Source organism: Homo sapiens, chromosome 3, assembly GCF_000001405.40.
Source record: "Homo sapiens chromosome 3, GRCh38.p14 Primary Assembly".
In the NCBI taxonomy this organism is placed as follows: Eukaryota; Metazoa; Chordata; class Mammalia; order Primates; family Hominidae; genus Homo; species Homo sapiens.
In genome coordinates this window covers 152,573,351-152,589,223 of record NC_000003.12, presented here as the reverse complement: position 1 = coordinate 152,589,223, position 15,873 = coordinate 152,573,351, and the positions used below count along the sequence as shown (strand labels likewise).

General features: G+C 37.2%; 1 annotated feature.

Moving 5' to 3' along the window:
- Positions 14,557–14,636: a silencer, noted in NCBI's record as "silent region_14826". NCBI's record gives its function as "represses an Ori minimal core promoter by ATAC-STARR-seq in GM12878 lymphoblastoid cells {active_cell/tissue: GM12878}" and the evidence as "EXISTENCE:reporter gene assay evidence [ECO:0000049][PMID:35858748]".

Below are 15,873 nucleotides of genomic sequence, written 5' to 3'. Positions count from 1 at the left end.
AAAGCAAGGTACATTCAGTTTTAGAAAAGTCAAGTTTCCATCCCTGACCCTACCCACCTCTGTTCTCTCCCTTCTTCATAAGTGACATGTTTGTTAGGTTTTAAATAGATATTAAAGCAAAACCTAATGTGTGTGTGTGTGAGAGAGAGAGAGAGATAAAAGCATAAGTAAACGTATCTATATAATTAAAGCAATATAAACATATATTTGTCTATTTGTTGCACAAAAGGTAGTGTGCTATGTACACTCTTATATAAGTTGCTTTTAAAAAATTTCAATTAACAATATATCTTGGTAATAGCTTCATAGAAATATAGATAAATACTCCTCATTTAATTAAGGTTGTATACTATTCCACTATTTGAACATACCTAGTTTATTCAATGCATTCTTTACTGGTGGGAATTTGGGTTGTTTCCAGTCTTTTTCTGTTACAAATAGTGATCTAGTCCAATTTTTTAACTATATCTCCCTGACAAGGGATGGATAGCCAGATTCTGAGAGAACAAACTTTATTGAGTTGCCACTATCTTTTTTTTTTCCCAAGACACAGTTTCACTCTGTCGCCCAGGCTGGAGTGCAGTAGCATGATCTCAGCTCACAGCAACCTCCTCCTCTCAGATTAAAGCAATTCTCCTGCCTCAGCCTCCCGAGTAGCTGGGATTACAGGTGCACGCCACTATGCCCAGTTAATTTTTGTATTATTAGTGGAGACGGGGTTTCTCCATGTTGGCCAGGCTGGTCTGGAACTCCTGACCTCAAGTGATCCACCTGCCTCGTCCTCCCAAAGTGTGGGATTACAGGTGTGAGCCACTGGTCCTTGCAGAGTTTTCACCATCTTTAATGTCCTAGGGAAGTACACATACATTGAGATGTGATTCCTGGTCTAGAAGAATTCACACTCCATTTGAGCTGGAATTCTAGATCCTTTTGTATATATGACTGTATCACTGAATAGCTGTGTGACTTCATAGTGTGTGATCTTGGGCAGGTTAACGAACCTCTGTGGGTCAGTTTCCTTATCTGTGAAAAGCAATAATGGGATCTACTTCCCAGGTGTGTCATGAACATTAAATGAAACAAGATTTTAAAAAGCATAGTGCCTAGTACATAAGAAGTGCTCAATAAATCTATCTACAAATGGATATAGACATTTTGGCTAAAATACACCATCAGCAAAAATTAATACTATTAATATTTTTGAAGTAGTGTGGCAAAGTAGGAAGAGCAAGGACTTCAGCAACAGTAGACCTAGGCTTAAGTGCTTAACTTTACCACCTCCTCTGGCCTGCCTTGACTTTTTTTTTTTTTTTTTTTTTTTTGCCTTTGAGCTTCACCTCCTTCACCTATAAAATGGGAATAATATCAATTATCTGGCTTTAGAGTTTTGGTAATTATAAGAGATTGTACCAAGGACAACATATGGCACAGAGTAAGCAGACAAGAAATATTGCCTTATGTCTCTCTCCTGCTCTAAGACTGCATTACAAAGACTTAAATTGGCAATTGGGACCCAGCCATCATACCAAGTCTGGTCCTCCTACAGGGGCTGCTGGGAAAAATGTCTACTTATAGTAAAGCAGAGGCACCAAGTAATTCCTCACTAGGATTCCCCCTGTTCTGCATTGTTCCATTTTCTTGAAACTTGGGTATTTTCTAATTTATCTTAGGACCTATCTCTCTTCTCAGAGATGTTCTCTCTGTTTCTCTCTCCTGATCTCTACTCTACCCAATAGTGTAATGCACCACCTACAAGCTTGTACTGGAAACTGCAGTCTTGGGCTCAGATCAACATCAAACTCACAAAGCAAAGTAAGCTTCAACCAGCCCTAAGTATTTTTGGCTTTAAGATAAGACAGGAAACAAGCATCTGCAATAATGGCACAGTGGAAGATTCATGATTCCTAGTCACAGTTTCTGATGTCCCAGTCACTTTACCTTTGGGACACATGGTGGTCACAGGAGGCAGGCCGAGTACATGTAGACTACCTCAACTCAGGGAAGACAACAGATGAATGGTCCCTTCACCCTTCCTACCTAGTGAATCACGACCTGTCTCCCCCACTCTGATGCAAGTAAGTTCCTTACGACTGCATTTCAAAGATAAGGTAAAAGAGGTTCATCCAGAACATAGTCAACAGGCCAATTCTCATTTATCTTGGATATGGCATAAATTCTTAAACAAGTTCTTGAGTTAATGCTGCAGAGAGGTTAGACCGAATCAAATCCTTAAGTGTCTCCAAAACTAGAGGAAAGGTTATGAAACCAGCTGTTAATCCTTGCCGCTCCATGTATGTGTGGAGGGGAATAGAGTATAATATAATATAGTATACTAGATACAGATACAGTGTGAAATGCTTTACATAAATCTCCTTATTCAACCCCCCCATGACAACTTTACAACAAAAATACCATTTTATTCTGATTTTACAGATGAAGAAATAAATTACAAGTTCAGAATCAAATAGGCCAAAGTTCAAATCCTGATTGCCCCACTTACTTGTTTTCTGCCCTAGGGAAGAATACATAGCCCCTGAGCCTTCATTTTCTCACTTAAAATAATAACACCTACTTCCAAAGCACTATGAACAGTTGTGAAACTTGTGTATTGCACGAAAATATGATTTGGGGCTAAAATCCAGCCTGCATTCCCTCACCAACCCATGTGCCTTACGACTTTTTCTTTCCAGATTCAACAGCTTTTTCTAACTTGCACAGAGAAATTCTATAGGCTAGTGGCAGCCAGTGCTGCAACCCAGTAGAGTTCATAGTTTTGTAAAGATTAAGGGAGATAAATTAATAGTGCCTTGTGTATAGAAAGCTTATAATTAATATCTGCTCTCTTTATTCCCTTTAATATATCAGTGATAGATTTTTCTTTCAACAGAAACTATAAATGGCCAGTAACAAATTATACTTAGAATTATTATGGCCAACTGGCTATGCCTTTCAGCAGAGAGATTCAGATCAAGAGTTCAGTCTCCACAGTAGAATTTGAGGCACACACTATTAGCAGAAGAGAATCCCGAAGACATGGGTCTCCTCATCTTCTGACCACAGTACACAGTTCACCTGCTCTGCCTTTTTATAAGGCAGTGAGCATTTCTAAAGCAAAGTGATGTCTTCATTTACATGTAAACCCCATTATTCCAGCTTATCTAAAAACTCCAGCCTACATTTTGTAGTTTAAAAAAATCAGCTTTGACCAGTCTGGGCAAAATAGTGAGACCTCATTTCTATGGATAATAATAAAAAAATTAGCCAGGCATGGTGGTGTGCCCCTGTGATCCCAGCTACTCAGGAGACTGAGGCAGAAGTATTATCTGAGCCCAGGAGGTTGAGGCTGCAGTGAGCCATGATTGAGCCACTACACTCAAATCTGGGTGACAGAGTGAGACCCCATCTCAAAAAAAAAAAAAAAAAAAAAAAAACAACAACAACAACAACAGCAAATCAGCTTTGCTAACTGTCTACTAAAGAAAATTTTCCAAGTTCATTTGATTCACAAAATTTCATGTGATTTAAATGATTTGTATCAGGACAATCGGTAGTACTAATTCCACCATCATCTACTTTGACTACTTTGTATACTGCGTATACTATATAGGTAGATGTAGCAGATTCAAGCATATCCTTGCAGTATACCCTTAAAATTATTTAATCTGAAGATTCACAGAAAAAAACAAATTTGATCCCATAACAAAGGGCATACAAGAAAGAATTTGTTTACTTTTCAATTAGATGTGATTTGTGACATTGATTTTTAAAGTCTGGGTATTTTAGTACTCATTTTTATGGTCATAAAAGGTAAGAACTTTTAATACAATAATAATCACGATGCAAAATATATTTTTCTACCACCTGGTCAACAACATAGCAAATGAAGATATAAAATATCAAGCTGCAATTATTCTAGGAGAAACTGAGTGTTTTCAGCAATGGTAGAAGCAAATGGGAGGTCAAACAAAGATTTTCTGTCCTAGGGTGAGGCAAGGTGAAGTAAATAGATTTCCCTAAAGGGAATGGGGCAAGGGGCAGCAGTGGTTGCATCAAATGCCAGGCACTCCAAACCAAAAAGAATGACTTGAGAGCCTGTTCTTTGCCAGGCTTTCTGGGAATTCTTGTTCCTGCCTGAGAACCTCTCATTTGAGGTTCTTCTGAGTCAGCCCACAAATGCTTTCTCATTTTCTTTTTATCTCTTTTGTATCTCCTTCATTTAATTGTAAAATTTCTCAGAAAAGGCATTTTTTTCCTTAGATATTCCACTTTCTTTGCTATTCATTTCCCCAAAAGGACAACTTTAAACAAGATTTCACCATTTTTAGACCTAATTTCAACTCAGTATCACTGTAGTGTAAACTCTAGTGAGGTGGGCAGCTCGGGTGTGCTAGAGGTCATGAATGATGTCTGTAAATAGAACAGAGTTCCCATCCTCTAGAAGCTTGTAAACTACTCACACCATGTTGGAAATGTCTGTCACCTTGTCTGTCTCTTACCTCTAAGTTGTGAGCCAATGTGAGGGTAGAAACAGGACTTCTGCAGTTCTCAGTAACTTGTAGGTGGTGATGCTAAGTATGCACATAATATTTATTGCTTGGATGAGTGAATTAATTAAAGGGAATCAAGGTGGTAACTTGGTTAAGCTAGAAAATACTTTAGGTGGAAAAGAAAGACAGAAGTAAAGCATAGAAATGAGACAGGGAGCCACTGGAAATGTATGGGATCTCAGGCAGCTAGGTCCAGGGACTATGTTGAAAGGCAATCAGGGAGTTAACTTGATTTCCAAGACAGACTCCAGTCTTTGGAATAAGACAAAGGATGAGACTAAATTTCATCTGCAAGAGATTAAAGATTTTATATTCCTAAGCAGGGGACTTCAATAGATTAACTCTCTGGTGTTGTGCAGAACAGAGAGGGGTGGGCCTGTTCCTTTTACTCATGGCATCTGCACATGTGCACAGATAGCAGAATGTGAGGTAAGAGTTTGAAAATAAATATAACAAATGTCTCTGGCTATGGAGTAAAGAGATTGATCCCTCCTCCCATGGATACAGTTTGCGTGCAGTTATGGCCTCCTTCCAGAATTTTTCTTCAGATGCTAGATCACTGCTGATTGTTGTAGTTGCTACATTTTTGGCCAAGAGTCAGGGGCTAAACCAGGCCAAAGTGTGGTGTTTCTGCTTCTGTTACTAAGCTGAGAAATTCAAAGTAACTTTCTAAGAATACTTCATTGAAATCATGATGATAAGATTTAGAAAGAAATTATGGGTCATATTTGTTGTCATAATAGCCTATCAGTATCAACCTTCAGACTAAGAGGATCTATGATTTACCCCAAAGAGCTGTTCTGTGTGAACGTTCTTTATGGTATGTTAGAATTTAACAGAATTAATAGACTTAAGGTGAATTGGGATAATGAAGTTTCTGGGCTCACAGCCCATGAAATCGTCTTCCCCACTTGTCTAAAGGGAACTTTCCATTCTATCTGGAGGTGCATTAGAGATGGAATATCTCCTGACTCGGAGCATTTTGCCCTGTCTTGTCCCCACCCCCATCCCACCCCTGCCCCTTGTGACTGATGCTTTGACTCACAGCTGTTTTTCTAATGCGTGTCCAGTCTTCTTTTAGAAGCTGCCTTCAAATTGAGTCCTTTGACTTAATCACACCACCTTTTGCCAATTTCTGTCTCTACTCCCTCTGAATCCAGTAAACTAGTGGCTCTCAACTTTTAGCATATATCAGAATTCCTTGGAGGGTTTTTTAAAACACAGATTTCTGGTCTTCACCCTTAGCATGTCTGATTCAGGAGATTTGGGATGGAGCCTGATAATTTGTATTTCTAACAAGCTCCCATGTAGTGATGATAGTATTCTTTGGGGGCCACTGTCTGAGAATCATTGCAGCAGACAGTTTAGTGCTACCTGTGTCCAAAACCTGGAAATGAAAATAGGGACAGAAGTTCAGTTTCAGGGTTCCATTTATAGGGAGTTCAGACATAAGAGAGAGAAAAAAATCACATTTCAATAACAACTAACATTTAGTAGGTACTTATTACATCATTACATTAACTTTGTAGGTTAGGTATAATTCATGTGGTATTAATGTCCCAAGATAAGAAAATGAAAGTTTAAATAAATCATAAAAATTGCCTGATGCCACACAGCTGGGTTTAGATTCAGATTTCTCTGCCCCCAGTAGGAAATTTTGGTCCCTCAAATTGTGCCTCTTTGATGGTGTGCTGCTGGGGGAGAAAGTCTCAGGTTTGCATGCTCAGAAATGGCAGTTTTTCCCAGTGAAACTAGAATAATCGAATGAAGGAGGACTGTTAATTATTTCCATTTACTCTGGAGTACTCTACTGTGGGAGACATTTCAACCTAGATAAACTTTTAATCCGCAGCTTTGGAAAGTCACATCACCCTCTGGTTCCCAATTTCCAGATTTGTGAAAGAAAGAGGTTGAAATGCTCTTAAAGTTTTTTACCTACTTTAAAGATCTGTGGTCTTCATCTTATTAGTCAAGATTCAATTGTATTAATTTATACTGATCAAGAACTGCCAAGGAGTTAGAACGTTCACTGTATTCTCTTTCCACAAGGAACATCTGCATTAGAAACCAGCGACACTGAGAACTGTTCTATCAGAAGGCTGCAGCCAGAACAAAGAGAGTTAGGCTCTTATAATGGAGAATATCATCAGACTAAGGTAAAGGCTGTTTTTCACATTTTCCCTGAAATAATAGAGCTGAAAAGGCATCATGCTACTTATGTAGAGTCTAGAGTCCTGTTTAAGAAATGAATCCTTTTTCACTCATTATCTTTCTCCAGTACCTTTGTGGATACTGTCTAATTAAATGCATCTAGTCTTTTCTTGCATTAAAATTACATTTGCTCCCTTGAAATTGGGCAGATACTGTAGTTTCATCTTCAGTGAGTCCACATAAGAACCCAGTTAGGGGCTGGACTGCTTCTTCAAGTGGTGAACTTCATTTAACTTCAAGCAAAAGGCTGACATTTTCCTCTACCTCGTTGCCAACTTCTAGGGTGACACTCTGTCTGGAAACTACAGACCATATGTAATGACAACAAGGAGACTTTGTATAAAGGATTTGACTTTTCCTCTCCAGCTGTCTGGAGAACAGCACAGGAAGTGTATCTTTCATGCATCATGTTTATGAAGCTACCGTTCATTGTAAAAACAAATTTATAACTGTGCAATGTGTGTGGGAGATGTCTAGTGGCCGTCATACTAATCATGGATAAAATTAGAAGCTAGTATTATGGATTTAGAAAACTATGACCTTGATGCACAGCATTTCTCATTTAAAGAAACACCTTCTTAGATATCTTTTATTTATGCAATCTAATTTTTTTTAACATTGCAACATTCAAGTATTTTGTTGGGAAAACTGATATGAAAGTAGAGCACTTGTGAAATATCTTATACAACAAAGGTCCCAAAAATTCACAGGAGAGTTATATAATGTTTCATGTGCTGTTAAGCACTCACTAATTTTCTGGGAATATGAGAAATTAATTTAGTATGACATAACCAGCATCAAAAAATAAAATGGAATAAAATAGAACTGAACTGGAGTAGAAGTCCCTCACTCATTATAAAGTATTATGTTGTGAATATTTTCTTTTAGTTATGTGTGTATACAAGTGTTTGTGTGTGTGTGTGTGTGTGTGTGAGAGAGAGAGAGAGAGAGAAAAAGAGAGAGAGAGAGACAAAGAGAGGGAGGAGGAAAAGGAGAAGTCTGAAATGTTAAATGCATTTTTTTTGTAGGTAGTGGTTGTTTTTCTTTTATTTATTTTTCTTTTTTAGAGATGGGGTCTTGCTATGTTGCCCAGGCTGGTCTCAAACTCCTGGCCTCGAGCAATCCCCTCACCTCAGATTCCCAAAGTGCTGGGATTATAGGCATGAGCCACTACACCCAGCCATGGTTATTTTAATGCCACTGCATTAGTAGACAGCCTAGCACTTTTTGCCCAATGGTATAGAAACAGATTGCAGCCTGCTTTCATGATATCACTCTGCTCTAGGAGTCTGTAAATCAGACTAAGTAGATCTTCAAAAAAACCATGAAGTAATCCAAGATTACATAGAGAACATTTGTATGGTATTTGGTATCACAATTTGTGTGAAATTTGTACCCTGGCTTCCAGAATGAGCAACTACATTTAATACAGTTTCAGTAGCCATTTGAGTTCTGAGGTATGGCAACTAGCTGAAAAATGATCCTTGTAAACACCTTCTCTTGCCAGCCAGGATTACATGGATAGTAAAGGATCAATGACAGGACAAATACAGGCTAAATTGAATAATTAGTCCAAATAAGTCCCACAGAGGATAAAATAATGAACTCAGCCAGGGATAGGAGTAGAGAAAAACTTACAAAAGAAAGAGTGTTGGAGCTAGCCAAGCAGACGTAGGATGGGTGGGGGTTATTTATTTGGGGAATGGCAAGCAAAGACATGGAGATTTTCTTTACCCATCTTACTTATGTGATGGCAAGGAATACATAAAATGTCATGAAATGATTTTTAAAGAATTTGTTTTTTAATGTGCTTTAACCTACAAATATTTAATTTTCTGTTTCTAGCTTATGGATAGATAGACATATAATTACCATCTTTTGGTACTTAAACCTTGCTGGGTCCCCTTCTAGGTGCTTTCCATGTGTGATCTCACTTATTTCTTACCTCTGCAACCTCATATAACAGATGACATCATTTCTCTTTTATAAGTAAGACAAATCACAGAATAGCAAAATATCTTGCTCAAATCTGCAGAATTTGAAAGTCAGGGAGCTGATCTCAAATTTAGATTTGTCTCTAAGGCCGACTCTGCTAAGAACAAACTAATTCTTAGGCAGAAAGTCCAATTCAAAAGTTTTCTGGCAAATGACACTCTAGTTGCTCATGTTTGAATGCTGTTCTGTAGATGAAGATGCAACAAACTTCTCTGAAAAGTTTGATTTTGTTCTTAAAAGAATAATGTCCTGAAATTTCCCTCAATGTCAATTACTGCCATATACTAAGTTGAGGCCTCAAATATGCAAGTGATTACTTCTTGGTTGATAATTACCAATGTCAACTAAAGTCAAAAGAGTTCAGTGAAAAGTAATGTCAACCATTAGATTCACTGTCTACTTTTTAGTGTAGGAATAATTTTGAGAGAAACTTAAAGTAGGGTTTTAAATTTTAAAAAATGAACATTTTGAAAACATCTAAATTTAAATGAAACGGACGTTTCAAACTGTTCTATTTGGTTACTGCTTTGGGGTCAGTTATTATTTCCATTTAAAATGATAGCTTTTTCTGGTTTTATTTAATAGAGAAATCTCTATTTGCCTAAAAAGGCTAGTAAAGATCCTCCTGAAACTTGGAGAGCCACTATATTGGGATGTTTTGCCCCTACTTTGGTTGTAAAGGGTGTCAAGTGAATGAAAATATATAATATACCTTCTTCTTCTTCTTTTTTTTTTTTTTTTGAGATAAAGTCTTGCTCTGTCTCCCAGGCTGGAGTGCAATGGCGCAATCTTGGCTCACTGCAACCTCCGTCTCCCGAGTTCAAGCGATTCTCCTGCCTCAGCCTCCTGAGTAGCTGGGATTACAATCACACACCACCAAGCCTGGCTAATGTTTGTATTTTTAGTAGAGACAGAATTTCACCATATTGGCCAGGCTGGTCTCAAACTCCTGACCTCAGGTGATTCCACCTGCCTCGGCCTCCCAAAGTGCTGAGATTACAGATGACAGCCACTGTGCCCGGTCCATATATCTTCTTTTGAATATTGAACATGATATGCCTTTTTACTCTGGGTTTTCTCATAGTTCTCTTGCAGTAACAACCCACGATTTTTAATGAAAAAAGCTTTTCTCCACAATTTCATCTATTTAATCAAATTATAGCCAATATGATTAATATTTATTGAAAATTTACTTTGCACCTGATACTGTGTAGAATAAGGTTTATAATTTAAAATCTCACACAAATTTTTGAGATAGATATCACTATTCTATTTGTTGTATAAGGAAACTGAATCTAACAAGAGCAAATAATTACTAGGGTATAAGCTTGTGTTTATATTTAAGAAGTCCTATTTCAGCACCAAAGTTTTGAAGCTAGCATCTTTAACATTGTTTCCCAGACTGGATTTCAAGGGAATAATAGCTCTGCAAGATATTAACAGTTATTTTTCAAAACAAGATTCCAATCTGAGTAGTTTGCCAATGCATGAAAAGTTATTGCACAATTTTTCAAAACCTTTAACATGTTAATAGGCATTGTGAATCTTTAAGAAAAAATACTGTGTTTCTATGTAGTGTTTCTCAAATATATGTGTGTGCACATGCACACATGCATGATTGCATGTATATATATGCATATGTGTCATTTTTACATACTTTTTAAAATTATTATACATATTATAAATAAGTATATACATATGTCTTTACAGTACACTCATAAGGAAGCACTGGTTTGTATTCATCAAAGTGTTCACATTAGTGAGGTCTTATATGGACTCTTGCATATCCCTGGCCATTTCTATTCCCGTGCTCTAAATGTAACATAACTCAAAAATGATAGTAAGCTCCTACATTTTTCAGAGTACAGCATAAAAAGGGAATATTTTAATACTCTGAAATTTACATCCCTTCCATAGGATATAACATTCAAATGTATTCACAGTGACTAAGGAAAGAATAATGGATATTATAAGGAAAGAATAATGGATATGGAACATTAGAATTAAAAGAGTCTGTCACACATCTTCTAGTTAGCCTTCTTCCTCTAAGAAAAGTTATACAGACCTTTTCCAGACAAATTGTTGTTTTTTAGAAATTTCCAGTAACGAAAGTTTTGTAAGTTCAATTTTTAAACTCTTTCCTGAGTTATACTGACCTCGCCACATAAAAGTGGCTTTTAGTTTAAAACTAATTTCCTCCGTTTTTCTCCAGTTACATCCTTAGGGCAATGTTTTGGAGCCCTGCTTTTAGAATTGGGGAAGAGTTAGTCCTCGTTCCATTAGAAAAGTCATTTTTATAATGGTAACTATATTAAGATTTGAGCACAGCATAGTAAAATGAACTTTATAAGAATAAGAGTAATTATTGTGTGGAATTGTATAATCTGTATGGCATAGCCTTTATGCATGTACACACAGGTACACACATGCACATGCATACACACAGGCATACATTTACACATGCACAGTTTTTCTTGATAATTTTGCCTTGCAATGATCTAAGAAAATTTACCATAGTCCACTACTATCCACAGTAACCTCCTTTAACTATGATTTATGCTACCATCTACTGAAGAACATTAATGATTCAAAAGACTTGGGTTCTAGTTTGACTCTAAAAACTATGGGGTTCATGTCTTTTTGGCAGTTTATTTACAATACCTATGACTTGGTTTTCTCATCTATAACATGGGGTTAAATAATATTGTGTCATGCCTTAATTGATTGGTATAAGGATCAAAGTGATACGTGTGTGAGGGTGCTTGAGTTCCTTTTATTTTTTCACTTCTGTACTCATTATGCTTATATTCTCTTTGAAATACTTTTCCTCCTTGTTATGGGTCACATTTTCCTGCCTCTTGTCATGCCCAATGATTTCCTATTGAATGTTGGACATTGTGATTGTTATATTGTTAAGTGTCTGGATTTTCTTGTCTTTAATGAGTGTTTTGACACTTAAGTTGCAGACCAGTTTGATTGCTTTGAGTATTGTTTTGAAGATGTATTAGGGCTGGGTTTGTTGTTGTTATTTTGTTTTGTTTTGTTTTGTTTTTGAACAGGGTCTTGCTCTGTCACCCTGGCTAGAGCGTGGTGGCACGATCACAGCTCACTACAGCTGTGACCTCCTGGGCTCAAGTGATCCTCCCACCTCAACCCCTCCAGTAGCTGGGATTACAGTTATGTGCCATCATGCCTAGTGTATTTTTTTGTAGAGATGGTATTTCACCATGTTGCCCAGGCTTGTCTTGAACTCCTGGGCTCAAGCAATCCATCTGCTTCAGCCTCCCAAAGTGCTGAGATTACAGGTATGAGCCACTGTACCTGGCCAGGGATGGTTTTAAGTAGCATTTACTCCTGGGATAATTTCACTAAAGCATGATCATTTGGAGTCTGTACTGAACGTCCTCAAGTGACTACCGAGGACTCTTCATGCTGATTGGGTGGTGCTTGAATGACACCCTGGCTTTTGTGAGCTCTAGAAATTATTCTGCTTACAAATCCGAGGTTGCTTGTTGTCTGAGGTCATGGAGTTTTACTCCTATGTGCACTGTCTAGTACTCAACAAAGACTCAAGGTGATTCCAGTAACAAATCTGCAGCTAGGTTTTTGTTTTGTTTTGTTTTTATAGTTCTCTCCTTTCTGTAACTCTGTCCTACAGCTTCAAAGGAATTCAGCCTCTCTGAACTCCAATTGCTGTCCTCAACTCCCTAAGACTGCTAGATTCTGTCTGGTTTCCCCTTCCATGTGGCCATGGTACAGAAATTTCCTCTAGGCAGGAAGCTAGGGAGGTTGTAGGGCTCACACTATTGTTTCCCTTTCCTCAGGGATAATAGTCCTGGGCTGCCTACTGCCTAAAGCCTAAAAATACTTTATTTTAGATATTTCATCCAGTTTCTGTGTTTATAGCAGGAGGTTAAGTCTGGTCCTTATTATTTCATTATGGCCAGAAGTACAATTTTCATATGAAGTTACTTTCAATTCTTTAAATTATTATATTTTTTACATTACTTCTTTCAACTATCTAATTCTTAAACATTTAGATCAATATACTCTCAAATTGCCATTATGTGTTTGAGTGTGTGTCTGTATGTGTGTGAGAGACAGAGGGAGAGAGAAAAGAGATACCAAGCATGCTACAGAAAGATATCATTTTTTATTTTCTTCTCTTCAACTTTCAGGTTTTGGCTTTTGAGTAGCAGACATTTTTCTTTAATAGTTATGTTTCTTTTCATGGGAATTATACAAAAAATAGCATCAAAGTGATAATTTCTGCCATTTTATTATCTAGAATGAAGCTAAGTAAAAGTGAATTTAAAGAAAAAGGATTAAATAAATCACAGTAAACATAAAAAACAAGGCAAAACCTTTGAAGATGGTAAGCTGGTGTATGGCTGACGGGTCTGGGGCCTCCTTTACATGGTAGAAGGACTAGATAAAATAAGAGCAGAGGAGAAAAACACTCAGCTATTCTGCGTCTGATCTAACATTTTATTTTTCTTCCCCTTGAAAATTTTGTCTTCCAAAGATGTATTCATATAATTGTTCTTCTGGGGGGATCCTTCTGCATTTGAGTTGACTAATGGAAGATACTTGCAGTGTTTGGAAGTCAACGATATGATGTTACTACCAACAACCACTTTAATCAGAAATAAACTAAGGAGCACTTAGTCCTGAACATCTCTTCTTCATCCATACTTTCCTCTTGACAGCTAAACACTTCTTCCATTTATTCAGAGAGAAAAAAAGACTGGGAGAAAAACTTAAAATAGAACTATTAAGATAGAAGAACAGAAAGTAAAATGAATGAGGACAATTTCTAACAGAAGGAAGCAGAGGGTTCAATTTAAAACCTGTATCTATTTTACAGTTGCCTATGCTGTGGTTGTGTTGGATTGCCAGAGTTTAGAAAGCAGACACTGTCCTTATGGATTAATTGGATGAACCACTTACTAGGGAGGAAAAGAACTGAATGTGTTCAGAATCTGTGACTACATTATTCTAAGCCTAGGTCTGTGTATCTGCCTCCCAGTGCCATATGGCAGAAGCATAGGTTGGTAATTTCCAGATTATTTAGTTCCAAACTTTTCCACAAAATGTGGTGATTTTATTTATTAACACTGAGAAGGAAGATATTCTGCAATATGATTAACAATGGTGGAGAAAAACTATAGAGATAGCTTGTTATAAATACAGTCAAAGCTCTGTAAATCTGTGGTTTTCTTGAGTTCCAAGGCTTTGAGACTAAGGCAGCAAAGATTTAAGTTGCAAGAAGCTCTGTTTTACTCTTTCTCTCTACATCTTCTCTACATCCCTCCTGATGCTACAATTTCCTCAGAGCTTGGGACTGTATGTAGAGTTATTTGACTGACCCTTTTAGCACACAGTAGTTGGGAGAAAACATCGTGTCAAATCATGCTGTGAGGGGATAAAAGGTAAATTCTGCCAGTTGGTTGTCGAATATCTTGTAAGAAAAACTGAATGCTTAGCCTTCTATATAGGACTGCCAATTAAATATTTAAATTAAAAAAATTAAAGATGAGCCAATCCTTCTAAATGGAAAAATACAATGATGCGTCACTAAAACACAATCCTGATGAAGTAATTTTCTATTCTTTTCCATAAGAGATAAGCACCTACTGAGATAAGTATAGGCTCCTACAAGTAGAAGAGCCTTGGAAAAGAACACAAATTAGAGGTTGTTGGAGAAGCAATGGCAGTGACTTTACTGTTTCTTCATATCTTCTTTTTTAAAAATACTGAAACTCACCCCCTCAAACAGGAACAGATAGCATTAAAGTTGATGTTGGCCACTGGGTGGCAGCGATGCCTCAGTAACATTATTTGAACAATGAGGACAGTTTGCCAAGCTTTCTCCATCTCCTCACCTCCAGATTCATAAGCACCATTTTCCATGCTTACAACTGTCACTAGTGGAATCATAAATTCTATTCATAGCTCCACTTATTTTCATCTTTTATTCCTAAGAGGAAGACATAACTTCTCTTAGGCTCTTTATGCTATCTATAATTTCTGGGACTTTTATTCAGAGTTTGTTTTGCTGGGATTTTTTTTTGACCTTTCACTCCATTTTCAGCTTTTTTCTTTCCACTTATGTCCTCTCCTTTATATACAATATGCCCAGAAATATTCTTAAAATTCTGCACAGCTAGGCATTAAGATCAATCTTGCCTGTTTCTCTTGGCTTTTTCTCCTCATCTCATCTTTCCTCTGTACCATAAGAAGACTTTCTCTGAGAGGAGAATGATGAACTATTTACTTTTAGTTCCCAGTTCCTAGATCTGCTAAATCACATCTTCTGCCCCCACAGAAGTAGAAAAAGAAAAACGCTATTGAGCATAAATCTCATGATTTTGTCTTCTTTGAACAGACATTTCTGTCAATTTGCCTTTAGGGATGTTGAGCTTTGAGAATTCTTTCACCCATTTATTTTCATTTTGTTTCTTCAGCTGGGGTCCGTATACAAGAGGACTTCTTTAGTGAGATGTCATGGCCAACATCCACTTAAAATATAAACTTAGTTAAAGCAACTGTACTTCTATGGGGAATCAGCACAAAATCACAGAAATAAAGCTGCAAGTTAACTTGGAAATAATGTTGCTCAAGCATCTGCAACGTTCTTAGAGGAAGGATCTATGTATGTATTCTCCAGAGCCTACAGGTGGAAAGGGAGGGCCTTGGTAGGGCTTTACTGAAATCAGAGTCTGACAGTGGGGTAAGGGAAAAGGCATAACCATCAATTATATTTTCCTCCCAGGAGGGAGTGTCTGCACAAGACATTGATGCTGGATCATGGTGGAGTGGTATGTGTAATGGCAGTACCTGCTGGTGAATCCCTCAGATAAGATATTTTAAGTTTCGTAGGTGGAGAGTACATAATTGCTTAGAGAGTCACTAGCCAGATGCTCATTTATCTAAAAAGTTGGTTCTTGGGAGGCATACATATGTTTCTTAAGATTTTATGTCTAGTTATGAGAGAACTCAGATTTCTGGAACAAATACTGCCCATCTGTACAATAGGGTTATTAAATATTTATTATTTATATTGCCATGGTAAGGAATAAGTAACATATGCAATTCACCCTGCATAGTATGTGATAAG